Below are 13078 nucleotides of genomic sequence, written 5' to 3' on the forward strand. Positions count from 1 at the left end.
TATCGAACTGTTCTCCTGCTCCTTCTAGGGCCCTGGTGACACAGATGGAGAAAGGCAAGGATCTCCGTTGGCCCTATGCTCTCCTGAAGTTCACATGCTGAAGAGGACATAGGCAGTGGGCAAGGAAACAAGGGACTGTCAATGGTGACACTGCTGTGGGGCAGCTCAACGGGGACAGAGGCAGGGCTGGGGTGCAGAGGGCGGTCTGCCCGACCTGACCAGGGGAGCAGGGATTTGTGGAATTGAGACCTGAAGAGTGAAGAGGAGACAGCCATAAGCAGATGGGGTCGCTCCAGGCCAAGGTCCTGAGGGGGCCCAGGCTTGATGGCACGGAAGCCTGGGTAGTTTGGAGAGGGGCTCGAGGAACCCTGGAAGGTAGCCAGAGGCACACCTCGCTGGACCTGCAGGCCCTGGAAAAGAGTCTGGATTTGATTCCAGTGGCATGGAAAAGCCATTGGAAAATTTCCCTCCAGAGGAAAGGCAGCACCAAATTTATGATTTAAAGCCCAAACTGGCTGGCAGGAGCTGCTAGAGGGTCTGTCTCCACAGAGGACCCTGTTGTATGACCTGCACCATCCAGCAGGGGTCTGGTCGCTGTATCAGTGATGACCATGAACTAGGCCCTGAGGGGCCTGGATATCACACACACAAGCTCCTCAATACTCCCGGAAACGGCTACCCATGAACAGAGAGAGACAGCTAGGGGTAGAAAGCAGCGAGTGTGGCATAGTCAATGAAACACCAATTGTCCCTCAAGTGCCACCCCTAAAACCTCTTGTGAGTGTTTGCTCCAGGCCCATCTGGGTTGGAGGAGAAAGCAACTTCCCCTTGCAGGTTGAGGGCACGCACAGCTTCAGGCCAACCCTTTCTACCTCCACACCCGATGGCTCCATATTGCTGGCGTGGAATGTGTTGTATTGACTCACACGGGAAGTGGGGCCCTTTCACCGTGGGCACAGAGTGGCTTGATGGAGATGGGTAGGCAGCAAGGACAGGGGTGCCATCTTAGAGGATTATCCCTGTGTCCCCATGGCTGCCCATGGCAGGGCTCCCCTTGAATCCTCACTTGGAAAAAGCCTCTTCCTGAACAGCAAATGTTTAAAATGGCCTTGTGACCCCACCGAGCCAGTCATGGAGCCCTCAGATGACCTGCCGCAAGACACTTGTCCCAAGCCAGCCACCTCAGTGGGCAGTCAGCATTCTGGGGACCTTATCAGAGGACATGTCCTTCCTTGGCATCAGGTGATCCAGCCTCTGGGCATATGGGAACTGTGGGGGTTGCATGTGGCAAGACTGAAGATTTCCCTCATCAGTGATAAAGACATTGATAAAAGGCTTTGCCACCCTAGGCTTCAGGGTCATATCGCAGAGGGCAGGCAGAATAGGCTCTGAAAATGATGAGAGGAGCCCAGGCCAGATTGAGAAGAGAGCACCTTCTTGCCATGCTCGCCCTGTTAGAAAGAAGCTGGAAGCTGACGTATCTTCACCTCCCATGCTGTGCTCTACACATGGAGTAGTATTTAGAATAACGATAATGAGAATCATCTTCACGCTTTGAGTATGTATTAAGTGCTTATTATGTTAACCATTTTTCATATATTTTCTCAATTAGTTCTCCCCTAAATTTAGAAATATTTTGAGATGACAAGGTTGGAGCTCAGAGAAATTAAGTGACTTGTCTGAGGTCACACTCACACAGGCTAAGTCTGGACTATAGCTCAGGTCTTCCTAACTCCAAAAACTAGGCTTGTAACACCTAAACTTAATTCAGACTAAAGTTGTAAAGTTCCTATTCCAGAGTGTGAATTGATTCATTCTCAACAAGTCCTTTGGGCATTGTTGTAACTCATTAAGCTAAAATCCCCTTGGGGAATTTTTACACACAGTGCTGGAACTGGGTCAGCTTGTGTCCCCTTTGGAGTTGAAACCTGGGACCAGAGTGAGCCGAGTTAGGAAGCAGCTCCCCTTGCAGAGTGCTGAATGCTGCCTCTTCTTGTTTTATTTTTACTGTTTACATGTACTATAAAAGTAGTGCAGGCTTGTTTCAAGAAATGCAAACATCATGGGAAAATATCATCTGAAAGTGTAACAGTCTGTATGTTAATCAGCGTCCCAGCAGAAAACAGATGGCACACTCAAAATAGGGTCATTTCAGAGGAGTTTAGTAAAGGCACTACTTGCAAAGGTGCAAGCAGGTCACAGGGTGGGGAAGTGGTCATCCAATGCAAAGGCAGGGTGCTCTAGGTAGATGGCTCCCCTGGACAGAGCAACCAGCCTCCATCAGCAGAAACCGGGAGTAACCTGGCTGCAGGGCTCCAGGGAAGAAACATCCTGACCTCAGCTCTTCCTGTTGTCTCCATATTTTCTGGTGGTGCAGACAGCAGTGCCCGTGAGTGGTCCCAGGACAGAGGTCTGGGCTGAGACAGTAGGGTTTAGATTCAGAGGGGCCAGAAGGTATTCCTCACATCCCTCAGAATTTTACCTCATAAAGTAACCTCTGTGGGTAGTGATGTCTCTAAACACACTCCTAGGGACTGAGTCCAAAGGTCACTTGCCCATCTGGATTGTTCTCCCCACGGAAGCCCCTGCAGTTGGCTGCCCTCTAGTATGGCAAGGAATTGAGAGAGTAGAACACAGTCTTTGTTGCATACACAGAGAATACCATGAATCCAATGAGAGTAATGGAAACGTGAAAGAGGGGCAGGGAGGTGGCAGCACAGAGGCTGGGTCCCCAGAGATGGGCTGAGAAGCGGAGAGGAAGATAAGCCAGCATCCCCACCCAGGCTGCAGGGCTGGGTCCCCACATGCTGCTTCTGGAAACGCTCACCTCCACTAACTGGCTCCCTGCTGGCTCCATACACACATGTGTACACACACACACACACACACACACACAAAGTGCATAGAAAGCTCCCTGTGCAGCCAGGGGAGGTGGCAGGAGAGGGCAGGTGTGATCACACATGGAGGCCCAGAGAGCTCTAGGAAGCTATTGGAGTTTGAGTTTGATTGAAAGCCACAATGGCTTTGATGATGGGAAGGGGTGTGTATGTGTGTGTGTGTGTGTGTGTGTGCACGCTAGGGGTGGGGTGGAATCATGGCAGCTCCAGGTTTTTGGCTGGTGATACCGCAAGACAAGGAAGCTGGGAGTTGAATGTGCTTAAGTGATAAGGGGGATGTGAGAATCAAGCTTTCTCTTGGTCTCTGCAAAGGTTGAAATGCCTTTGACATCCAAGTAGGTAACTGAATAAAAAATGAGTTGGAAGCTCAGCTGAGAAGTGAGGACCCAAGATGTAAGATTTTCAGTATCTGGACGTAGCACGTGGACTCCAGAAGATGCCCCACTCCGAGCGCTTCTGTGGCTAGGAGGCGTGTAGGCTTACCTGCTTCAGCACTGGGTGGGGACCTGTGTGTGTGTGTACACGTGTGTGTGTGCGTGCACATGTGCATGTGCATGTTTCTGTCTCTTTCTGTCTCTCTCTACCTCTTTCTCTGTCTCTCACCATCCCAGGACAGGTGGGAAGTCGGGGACGGGAGGATGCACCTGTGGAATGGGCCCTGCATGCCTTCCCTCTGGGCATCGAGGCAGAGCAAAGGGAGTGGGAAGAAATCAGAGAGAAAGAAGACCAGGAGCAGCCTCAGAGCCAGAGCTCAGGATGAGCGCTTCCTGCCAAACCCTGGGCGAGGGCAAGCAAAGCAGGGCTCTCCTGGGACTCTCAGGCCCAGCATCCAGAAAGGGCTGGCTCAGCACCCCCTAGAGAGAGAGAAAACGCTTCAAGGATCCCAGGCACAGCAGCATGGGTTTCCTCTGATTTACAGGTGGCTGCTGTAGATTCCAGGCAGCCGAAAAGGCCCTGGGAAGTCACTGGGCTCAGGAACAAGGAGGGGCTTTTTTAGGATCTCCAGTGACAGAAACGATACCGAGTTTTACATGCCCTCTGGTGCCACCCCTCACCCCAGCAGTCCTCTTTGTATTTGTGGGGGCTGGTTAGAAAGGGAGCAGCCGCAGGGACTTCCCCTTGGGGAGGGAAACATGCCTGAGTGTGAGCCGGCGGAGGCCAGGAACCAGGGAAGAGTACCCATGCCTTTTTGCAAGACGTCTTGGGGAGATGTTTGAATAAGAAACCCAGACTGTAACTCCCCAGTCCTCTCGTCAGCTGGACAATGGAACCTCTACTCCCAGGGGCACTGAGTTCAGTGAGGAAGATCTGCCAGGCAAGCTCAGACCAGTCTAATGGATGATCTCACAGTAATCAAACCTGGAAGAAATGTCCCGGACTCCCCTGGGAGGGAGGGGTGCTCATTGAGTGGGTGAACAAGAGGCAGGATTAACACCCCGGAGTTGGGCATCTCTTTCAATCTTGAAGTCTCATGTTTCTCTGGCCCTGTGGCCCTGGACAGTACACAGTCACCACCGGCACACTGACCAGCCCAGCACAACAAGGCCGCATGCCCGCGGTCCGGAGCACAGGCTCCCTCTCACCCTGTGGCCCTGGACCTGTCAGAAATGCATATGCCTAGGTTCCACCCCAACCTGCCGAGCCAGAACCTCTGGGGGCAATCAAGAACCCTGTGTCTCAGCTAACTCCAAGGCTTCCTCGAGTTTAAGAGCCACTGGTCTAGAGCAGTGACTTCCCACCATGGCTGGGCACCGAGATCGCCCACAGAGCTTTAAAAACCACTGCCCCCGGTCCCACCCGGGGCTCTGATTCCACTGGTCACCCAGTGTGGATTTCACGAGCCAAATGGGCAGCCTGGGCTGAGAGCCCAGGCCCAGACCTTCCCCCAGGAGGCCCCTGTTTTCCTAGACTCGCTTTTCTCATCTCTTTCCTTTGCTGTATTTCTTTTACTAGATTTTTTTTTTCAGATTTGTCTACTTCTCTTTTCTTTCATCCACTTCACTGAAAGTAGGTTACGGTGATAGTCTCCTTTCCAAATATTCGTGGAGAAAAAGTACTAAACAAGATGCTTATGAGCAAGTCCTTTGTCTGGGGTTTTGCACTTGGATAGAAAAAATAGTAGATTCCATTTTTCTGAATGCTTCTGTCTGTCATCCCCGGGAGTTTCAGTGTTCGTATTAAACTGGCTAAGGCATATTATTTGTTTGTTAAATAAAATGAACATATTTTATGCTAACATATTTCCCTTGGAAATGTAACTATAAGAAAGTCTTAAGAGAAATATTAGCTTGACATATTCAAATTATGATAATGTGGCCAATGCAAAATCCTCAGGGCATATGGGCAACACCGAGAAAAACGGGGCACTGCTTTGTAAATATCTAATGTGTGACAGTTTTGCTGCCTTCCTTCTTGGGATAGTAAATCAGGCTTTAACCGGGGAGAAGGTAAACAAACTTGAACTTGGCTGCATTATGGGAAAAGACTTTCAGAGAGGCGAGATGTGGAACAGCCAGCTGCCCTGACAGGGCCCAGCAGCAGGCATGGCAGGGATGGCAGGGAGGAAGGTGTGGGCCTGGTGGAGCTCATATCCAGTGGGGAGGATGAACCATGGGCACAGGAGCAAGGAAATCAGATGATACAGAGAGCTCAGGCTGGGAAGGCAGTGGCGTGGTGCAGAAAAGATGACCCAGGAGGCATCTCACTCATTATAGGGAAGGGCCCTGCTGCAGCCTCAGTGGTGTCATGGGGCTGCCAGGCTGAAAAGAGGTCCTGGGCAGGGGAGGATCATTTGAAGACAGCGGGGAGGCAGGAGTGAGCCTGTGTGACCGAGGGGAAGGGAAGCTGGAGAGGGCTGCTGCTGGGCGTTCTTAAAGGGTTTCAAACTGTATTTGCACTCCTTTAGACTGGAAAGATCCATGCAGAGCATTTTTACTTAGCTCCTGCAGTAAGCTTCTACTGTATCAGGCATGGGTGGGGAACCTAAAAGCTGAGGGAGATGATCTTTTTGCTCCAGAATCTAACACATTGCTGCCTTTAAAGCACTTTTCAGTTTCCTTAGAGGAAAGAAATTGGTTGGATCCACAATCCTAAATAGTTCAAGACAGTGATAAAGGCTCTCCTCACATCGTTTAAAATTAAATGTTTCATATGATTTTATAAATTCTATTTTTTACTCATTTCAACTTTATTTGTCCCCCGCTCCCCAGACTTTCCCTAGTCTCTGCATATTTTTTAATACCACGGATGACCCCCGCTGCCATGCACTGTGAGTCGGGCAGCCTCCTCATTTCTGTTTCAGGACACTGGGAAGTGCAAAGGTGCCTGGACTTTGGGGCGTGCCCAGAGCATCACCATCTGAGGCTGGAGCTATCTCCAGAGCGGGCAGCTCCCTCTGGTTTACATGAGTGTTCAGACTAGATTGTGGGCTTGGCATGGGGTCTCTCCTAGCTTCTTTACTTCCTGCCTAGATTCCAAGCCCAAACTTGCCAAAGATACTTTTTTCCTGTCTTATTTTGTTTCACCTTCATGTTGAGTGGTGTGAATATGTGAATGAAAATGACGAGGAAGGACATATCAGTGCTGGGAACCTAAAACGTGTGCTGTGCTTTGATTCGATTCCTGTAAAACAGCTCATGGTGTGGGTTGAAAGGAGATGGAGATGAAAATCTTACTTCCAAGCTGCACTGGACATTTCAATTTATCCTTGTAAACAACCTCTAGTGGGGAGCCAGGTTGAGAGGTGGGCATGGGGGATCCTGGTGGACAGCTCTTGGCCCTGGCTGTTTGTCTTATTTTACTTGGAAACCTTTTTTTTTTTTTTTTTTTTTTTTGGGTGGGAGACCATCTGGCTTTTCTGAGAAGGGATCCGTCTTTGTCACACTGGCATGAGCTGGTGCTGGACCCCCTGGCAGGACAGCTGGTGGGGTGAATTTGCTGTGGAACCATTGGGAGTAAAAGACAAAGCTGGGAATCTGAACTCCCAAGAACATGGACATCCAAACATGTATGTGGAAATCTGTGGTTTGTGAACCATCAGCACAAGTAAGAAAGGGTAGAATCGAGAGGAAAGATTTTCTATTCACAGGTGAAAAAGCAAAAATAATTTCAAACTCTGTCCTTGGCAGCTGAATTACAATGTGGACGTGCCCTTGTCTCTTACAGAGACAGGCGTCTTTAAGTAGACACTGAGGCTGCCCCATCCCATTTGAAGCTGTAGGTCAGAGAGCTGCAATGGGTGGCAATTTACATATCCTCAGGTTGTTTGTTTAAATAGTCTGTTCAACAAGTAATTAAAATGTCTTGCAATGAGCTCATGATGGTTTAGGGTAGAATTTTAGGAGCTGGAAATTTCCATGAAATTGGGAAGAGGTGATGACTCTGGCTGATAAATTGAGGAATGGATGGAACTTAAAGCCCTGGATGTGGGGCACATTCTGGAGGAGGCTGAGCTAGGAATTAGGTGGCCCCTGGTGTACCCAAGACCGAGGCCAGACCCTAGAGCACATGCATTTAGGATGATTCCTGAACCCCAACTTCCTAGTAATGTCCCACCCTTGGGCATTTCAAAGAGCCCTGACTCCCACAGCGCACACTGGGGAAAAGTAAGGCAACTGCAATCTTGAATCCCTGCCTGACCTGCAGCTAAGGAATGTCTTTAACACAGGCAGCCAAAGAGATGTCACCAAGAGCACCTGTCACTCACTAAGAGATGAGTGATGACAACGGACATAGAAGTACCCCAAAAATTGAGGGAAGAACATGCATGTTTGAAGGATTCCAGGGACAAAGCCGGGGAGGGGAATCTTACCTTAACACTGCATACCCTGGCCAGGCAGCATATCCAGCCTCAAGGCCCCAATACTTGCTCAAGCCAACACAGGTAGAGATGCTGGGGAGGGACCCAGATATGATAGGCAACTGTAGGTGGCCCTGTGCAAGTCATTCTCTTTCTCTTGCCTCCAGAGCAGCCAGCCCTGAGCGTGGCACAAAATTGGCACTTGGGAAGACTTAGCTGGCATAATTTTTATTGTTATTATCCCCCTTATTTTTTACCAGTCTCCTGGCTCCTGTGTTCATGCTAACTGGTCAAGGCAGAGTCTAACCATTCCTTTTTCCAATTCCAGAATGCATTTCTAGCTCCTCTCTTCTGAGTTCAGGGCTGCTCAGGGCCCAGGCCAAGTGTCAGCCAACATTGCCACATTGCGTGGCCCTGCGTGTGCTGGACCCCTTGAGAGTCCAAGTCATGTCACCCTCCACTCGGGGGCAGCTCACAGCCCAGCAGAAGTCAAAGAAGTGTCTGATGCCCTTTTGGCTCAAGGTGACCCCCTCTCATCATCACAATCCCTCCCTACCCCCTGATACCTTCATTTATCCCTCCATGGCTGCGGCTCAGACACACAGGAAGGAGGAACTGCCTGGTGATGCAGACAGCTCAATAAAAAATGTGGAGACTCAAGCTTCAGCTACTTTTCCATACATGGCTTAGGAAAGTGCTAACCTTGCCCATTTTCTCATCTGCAAAACAGAAATATCATCTCCCCTGCAGGGAGCAGGGAGCATTATTCAGAATGTGCTAAGTGCCTGGCATGTAGAAGGGTGGAATGAACACTAGGTTGGTATTCTTACTTGCACTCAGGCTCCAGCTCTGCTCACCTCCAGGCAGTCCAGGGCTGTCCCTTCTCCCTGCTCAGGGTGAAATGGATGAGGAACCACAGACAAGGAGACCAGGGCTTGTAGAGCCTCTGAGACTTCCCTTCTCAGATCTCCACTGTGGTTTGTGATGGGTGAACACTGATCGCATTGACTACATGACTGGCATTCCACCTCAAACCCTGTGGAACTCTAACTTCTCTCTTCCTGGGCTGGTTTCCCTGCCTGTACCTGGTTTACAGGGAGTATGAGGAGCCCCAGGCCAGGCCAGGGATTCAGATGCTCCAGAAAGCAGCTCCAAGTTTGGGTGAAGAGAAGAGACATCCAGGGAGGAAGTACAGCAAGAACCTGGGGCTTCTCCAGGCTTTCCTGGAGGAGAAGGGGAGGGTGATGGAAGAGGGCTGGAGGAACAGGAGGCTTTGTATTTCCAGCCATGAGCGCAGCAGATCCCACAAACTCCCTCACTCTTTGACAGACTGGCCATACAGTTTATCATTGAAACCAGGACATTCTGACAGAGAAGAGGGCTCTGTCCTTCATTTTCCTGGAACAACAGGCAAATACTGGGACAGTATGGTCACTTTGTTCCTCCAGGACTTTGAAAGGGATCTGAATAGCATCTTGGAGACCACTGATTGTCCAGGGCAATGACCCCCTCAAGTCCCCTCTTGGGAATTTTGGAGTTTGAGTCCCCACATTTCCAGGAAGCCATGCTTTGGTTTCTGCCCCTGTGGCTTCCTGAGAAGTCAGCAGGGGGCTCCATGAGCCTTGCCCCACTGGACCAGGCTCCCTGAGAAGGTTCTGTGTTGGGGTTCAAGATGAGCCACACTCATCGCTGGGTTTGTGTACACTAGAGCAGTACACTTTTTTGACCACAACCTATGATAAACGTTGTATTTTACATCATGATCATCATCATCATCATCATCAGGTGTTCACCAACCCCCACACACACACTCAAGACTTATTCTTCCCCACAGTAGATGTGACACTTGCCAAAATTTCTCATTTTATTCTCTTCCTTCTTTTCTATTTGAAAACACATTCTTCTTTCTTTTCTATTTTGTTTTTTAAAATTGCTGCTTCTACTAGTTTATGTTAATTTCACAGCCTGACTTTGTCCAGCATTTCCCATACATGGATTCTCACTTAAACCCCAGAAATATCCCTGTGCCATCCAAGGCAAACCATGGACCTGAGCCTGGCAGCCCCTGTGCTGGCACATCTGGAAGGCCCCAGATGTGGCCGCATCTGGGGCCTTCCAGACTGACCAAGGCCGGAGAACAAGGCCGGAGACTGCAAACCACAAGAGAAGGTTATTTAGTGCATTGGCCCCAAACAGCCCAAGGAGGGGCTCCTGCCTGCCATATCTCAGCTCTGAGACGTGGGGCTCACGGCTACTCTGAAGCTCCTTGTCTGTGTCCATCACATGGAGAGGGCTGGTAGCTCATGGGATTATCAGGACAACTGGAAGAGATGGTACCTGAAAGTCCTGTGTGGGCCTGGCAGGCACAGGCTGCCCTGGAAGGCACATGACCTAGGTGTTGGTCTGTCCCCAGCAGGAGCTCTGTCCTGAACAAAGGAAACACGCAGTGAATGCATTAGGCTCCAGTTTCCCTTGGCCTCCTGAGCAGGGGGAGGCCCACACAGCCTGAAGGGCAGGTGCTCTCTCAGAGGAGGAACTGGAACGAGCTGGTCCCTGGCAGGCCTCCTTCCCCAGCGAAGGCACCGACAGGGCCCTGGAGGGTTCCCATAGTGGGCGGAAGGAAAGCCGCCTCCCCCAAGGCTCAGGAATGCCCAGAATGGTTGTTTCCTCACGGCCTACAAGCCCATGTGACCCAGGCTGAGGGTCCCACGTTTGGGGAAGTGCCTGGGAAGGGGAAAGGACAAGGGTAGCCCGTGGCTGCATCTGGGACCTTCCAGACTGACCAAGCCTGGTCGCTCCTCCTCCCCATCAGCTTCTCTGGCTGCAGCATTGAGTTTGGCCACTGCCTGGGAAAGCTGAGCACAGCCACCGCTGCCAGCCACAGTCCTGAGCTCTTGGCCCTTGCCTCAGCTCCTCCCCGGAGGTTGGCCATCTTGCTCAGGTCTGGCTGGGAGCATCAGCCTTTAGGCCAAGCCAGCAGCAGCCAGGGTAGCCTAAGGCCTCCACCTGGTAGGGCAGTGGGGAAGGTATAGAGAACCTAGAGGGGAGGCAGGGGGGTCCTATGGTTACAGGCTTAGGTTTGGAGCCATACAGACTCATGTCCGAATCCTCACTTTGTCACTTCCCAGCTGTGTCCATTTTTGGAAAGACTCAGCCTCGGCTTCCAGTACTGATTTCGTGGAAAACTCCACTTGGTGGTGTCTCTGCCCTCTAGGGCCCTGGCTATGTCCTGAGGTCTGGCCAGCCACCCACTGCCCCATGTCAGGCCTGTCCTGAAGCACCAGCAGCAGAAATCTGTTCCAAGGCTCAGGAATGGGACCTGCAGCCACTGTGGTTGTCCCCTGGGGCCACCAGCTGCAAAGCCCAGACCAGCTGTGCCTGTCCCAATGCTGGCCTGTGGTTTGCACAGGCAGCATGTTCAGGCCCCACTGGAAGCAGGGAAGCCTTGGAAGGGGGTGCCTCTAGGGAAGGGATGGTTCTTTAATTTAGGCTCACAGGGAATAAACACTATAGTGTTTCTCATGTGCTGGGATTCCAGGGGGAAGGGCCAGACACAGGGGAGTCTGCAGAAGGAGCAGTGCGGGTAACCACTGATGTACAAACATTGGAGTGAGATGGATTTGGGTACCAGTGTGACCTTGGGTGTGCAAATGAATGCACAACCCTGGAGGTGAGTTGCTGCCTTCATTGCAGAGATGAGTGGAGAAAGCGTCCAACATGTTAACATCCCATTTAGCTATTGTGCCATCATTCCAAAATTACTGTCGTACCTTCTATGTGCCAGCCACAGCAACTGATAGGCAAACACAACAGACCAAGTCCCCCCTTGCTGTGCAGCGCAGGAAAGCAGGCAAGAAACAAACAGATGTGGTCAGGCAATGCAATGGAGAGGAGCAGCAGCAAGAGGAGGCCGGGGCGCAGCAGCGTGGGAGGAGGGGGCCTCTGCAAAGGCTTTTCTGATAAGGCCATGGTGAGCAGAGGCTGCAGGAAGGGAGGGGTGAACCATGGGATGATATGCGGGCCAAGAGACCAACTACTGCAAAAGTCCTCTGCCAGGGGTGGGCCTGACCTGTTGAAGTAAGAGGAGGCCAGTGTGGCTGGAGCAGAGAGGGCTGAGTTCAGAGACATGCCAGGCTGGTGGGGCAAACCTTTGTAGGCTGTTACACCACATGGGATGGGAAGCCACAGGAAGGCTTGAGGAGGTGGGCTGCAGCCAGCCATCATCACAGGCCACTTCAGCTGCTTCTGAAAGAGCCTGAGGGTGGACAGTCAGGGGCTAGCACAGTGATTTAGGCAGGAGACCCCTGTGACTTGGACCAAGACAGTAACAGTGAGAAGTGATTGGATTCTGGAAATATTTTCATGATAACTAATTGGGTTTGTTAATGGTTTAGCTTGGGGTTGTGTGAGAATAAAATCAATCAAAGATAAATATAAGGGCTTTGGCCTGAGCCACTGAAAGGATGGAGTTGCCATTTGCAGAAATGGGGATAAGCAGGTGGAAATTCAGAGTTTCATTCTGCATATGGTGCATTTCAGAGGAGGAGCTGGGTGTACAGGTTTGGGCTGGAGACAGCACTCTGGAATTCCTTCATGTTTCCATGGTGTTCAAGGCCAAAAGAACAAGTGAGTACAACTGGTGCTCAAGAAGAGCTAGGGGCCGGGTGCAGTGGCTCCCGCCTGTAATCCCAGCACTTTGGGAGGCTGAGGCGGGCGGATTACCTGAGGTCAGGAGCTCGAGACCAGGCTGGCCAACATGGTGAAACCCCATCTCTACTAAAAATACAAAAATTAGCCAGGCATGGTGGTGCATGCCTGTAATCCCAGCTACTCAGGAGACTGAGGCAGGAGAATCGCTTGAACCCGGGAGGCAGAGGTTGCAGTGAGCCAAGATCATGCCACTGCACTCCAGCCAGGGTGACAGAATGAGACTCTGTCTCAAAAAAAAAAAAAAAAAAAAAAAAGAAAGAAAAAAGAAAAGAAAAACAAAAACAACAAAAAAATAAGAAAATAAGACAAGCTAGGAGCACTGAACCCTGGACGCTCTCATGGTAAGCTGTCTAGAGGAGAAAGAGGAAGCAGTGAAGTGGAATGAGAGGGTGTGAAGCAAAGAAACAGGCCAGATTGGCCTCCTAAAGGCCAACCAGAAAATGTGCTTCAAGGAGGGCGATCAACAATGTCAGGTGATGCCAAGGGACCAAGGAAGCTTAGCATTGATAACTGGCCTTTGGATTTCCCAGCATGGGGCTGACTGGCAGCCTAGCGCCCGAGCAGCTCCAGCACATGAGCCAAAGGAATGCTCATGGAAGTGGGCTCAACGAAGGGAGAGGCGGAGAGACAGTGGGCATGGGGAACACAGACAACCCTTTTGAGGGCTTGTGTG

At 51.0% G+C, this 13078-nt stretch overlaps 3 annotated features.

Annotated features, from left to right (window-relative positions):
* Window positions 4114–5045: an enhancer, noted in NCBI's record as "H3K4me1 hESC enhancer chr10:44852471-44853402 (GRCh37/hg19 assembly coordinates)". NCBI's record gives its function as "activates a minimal SCP1, AML or CMV promoter by ChIP-STARR-seq in naive H9 embryonic stem cells {active_cell/tissue: H9 hESC(naive)}" and the evidence as "EXISTENCE:reporter gene assay evidence [ECO:0000049][PMID:30033119]".
* Window positions 11188–11689: an enhancer, noted in NCBI's record as "H3K4me1 hESC enhancer chr10:44859545-44860046 (GRCh37/hg19 assembly coordinates)". NCBI's record gives its function as "activates a minimal SCP1, AML or CMV promoter by ChIP-STARR-seq in naive H9 embryonic stem cells {active_cell/tissue: H9 hESC(naive)}" and the evidence as "EXISTENCE:reporter gene assay evidence [ECO:0000049][PMID:30033119]".
* Window positions 11690–12189: an enhancer, noted in NCBI's record as "H3K4me1 hESC enhancer chr10:44860047-44860546 (GRCh37/hg19 assembly coordinates)". NCBI's record gives its function as "activates a minimal SCP1, AML or CMV promoter by ChIP-STARR-seq in primed H9 embryonic stem cells {active_cell/tissue: H9 hESC(primed)}" and the evidence as "EXISTENCE:reporter gene assay evidence [ECO:0000049][PMID:30033119]".

Source organism: Homo sapiens, chromosome 10 (assembly GCF_000001405.40).
Source record: "Homo sapiens chromosome 10, GRCh38.p14 Primary Assembly".
In the NCBI taxonomy this organism is placed as follows: domain Eukaryota; kingdom Metazoa; phylum Chordata; class Mammalia; order Primates; family Hominidae; genus Homo; species Homo sapiens.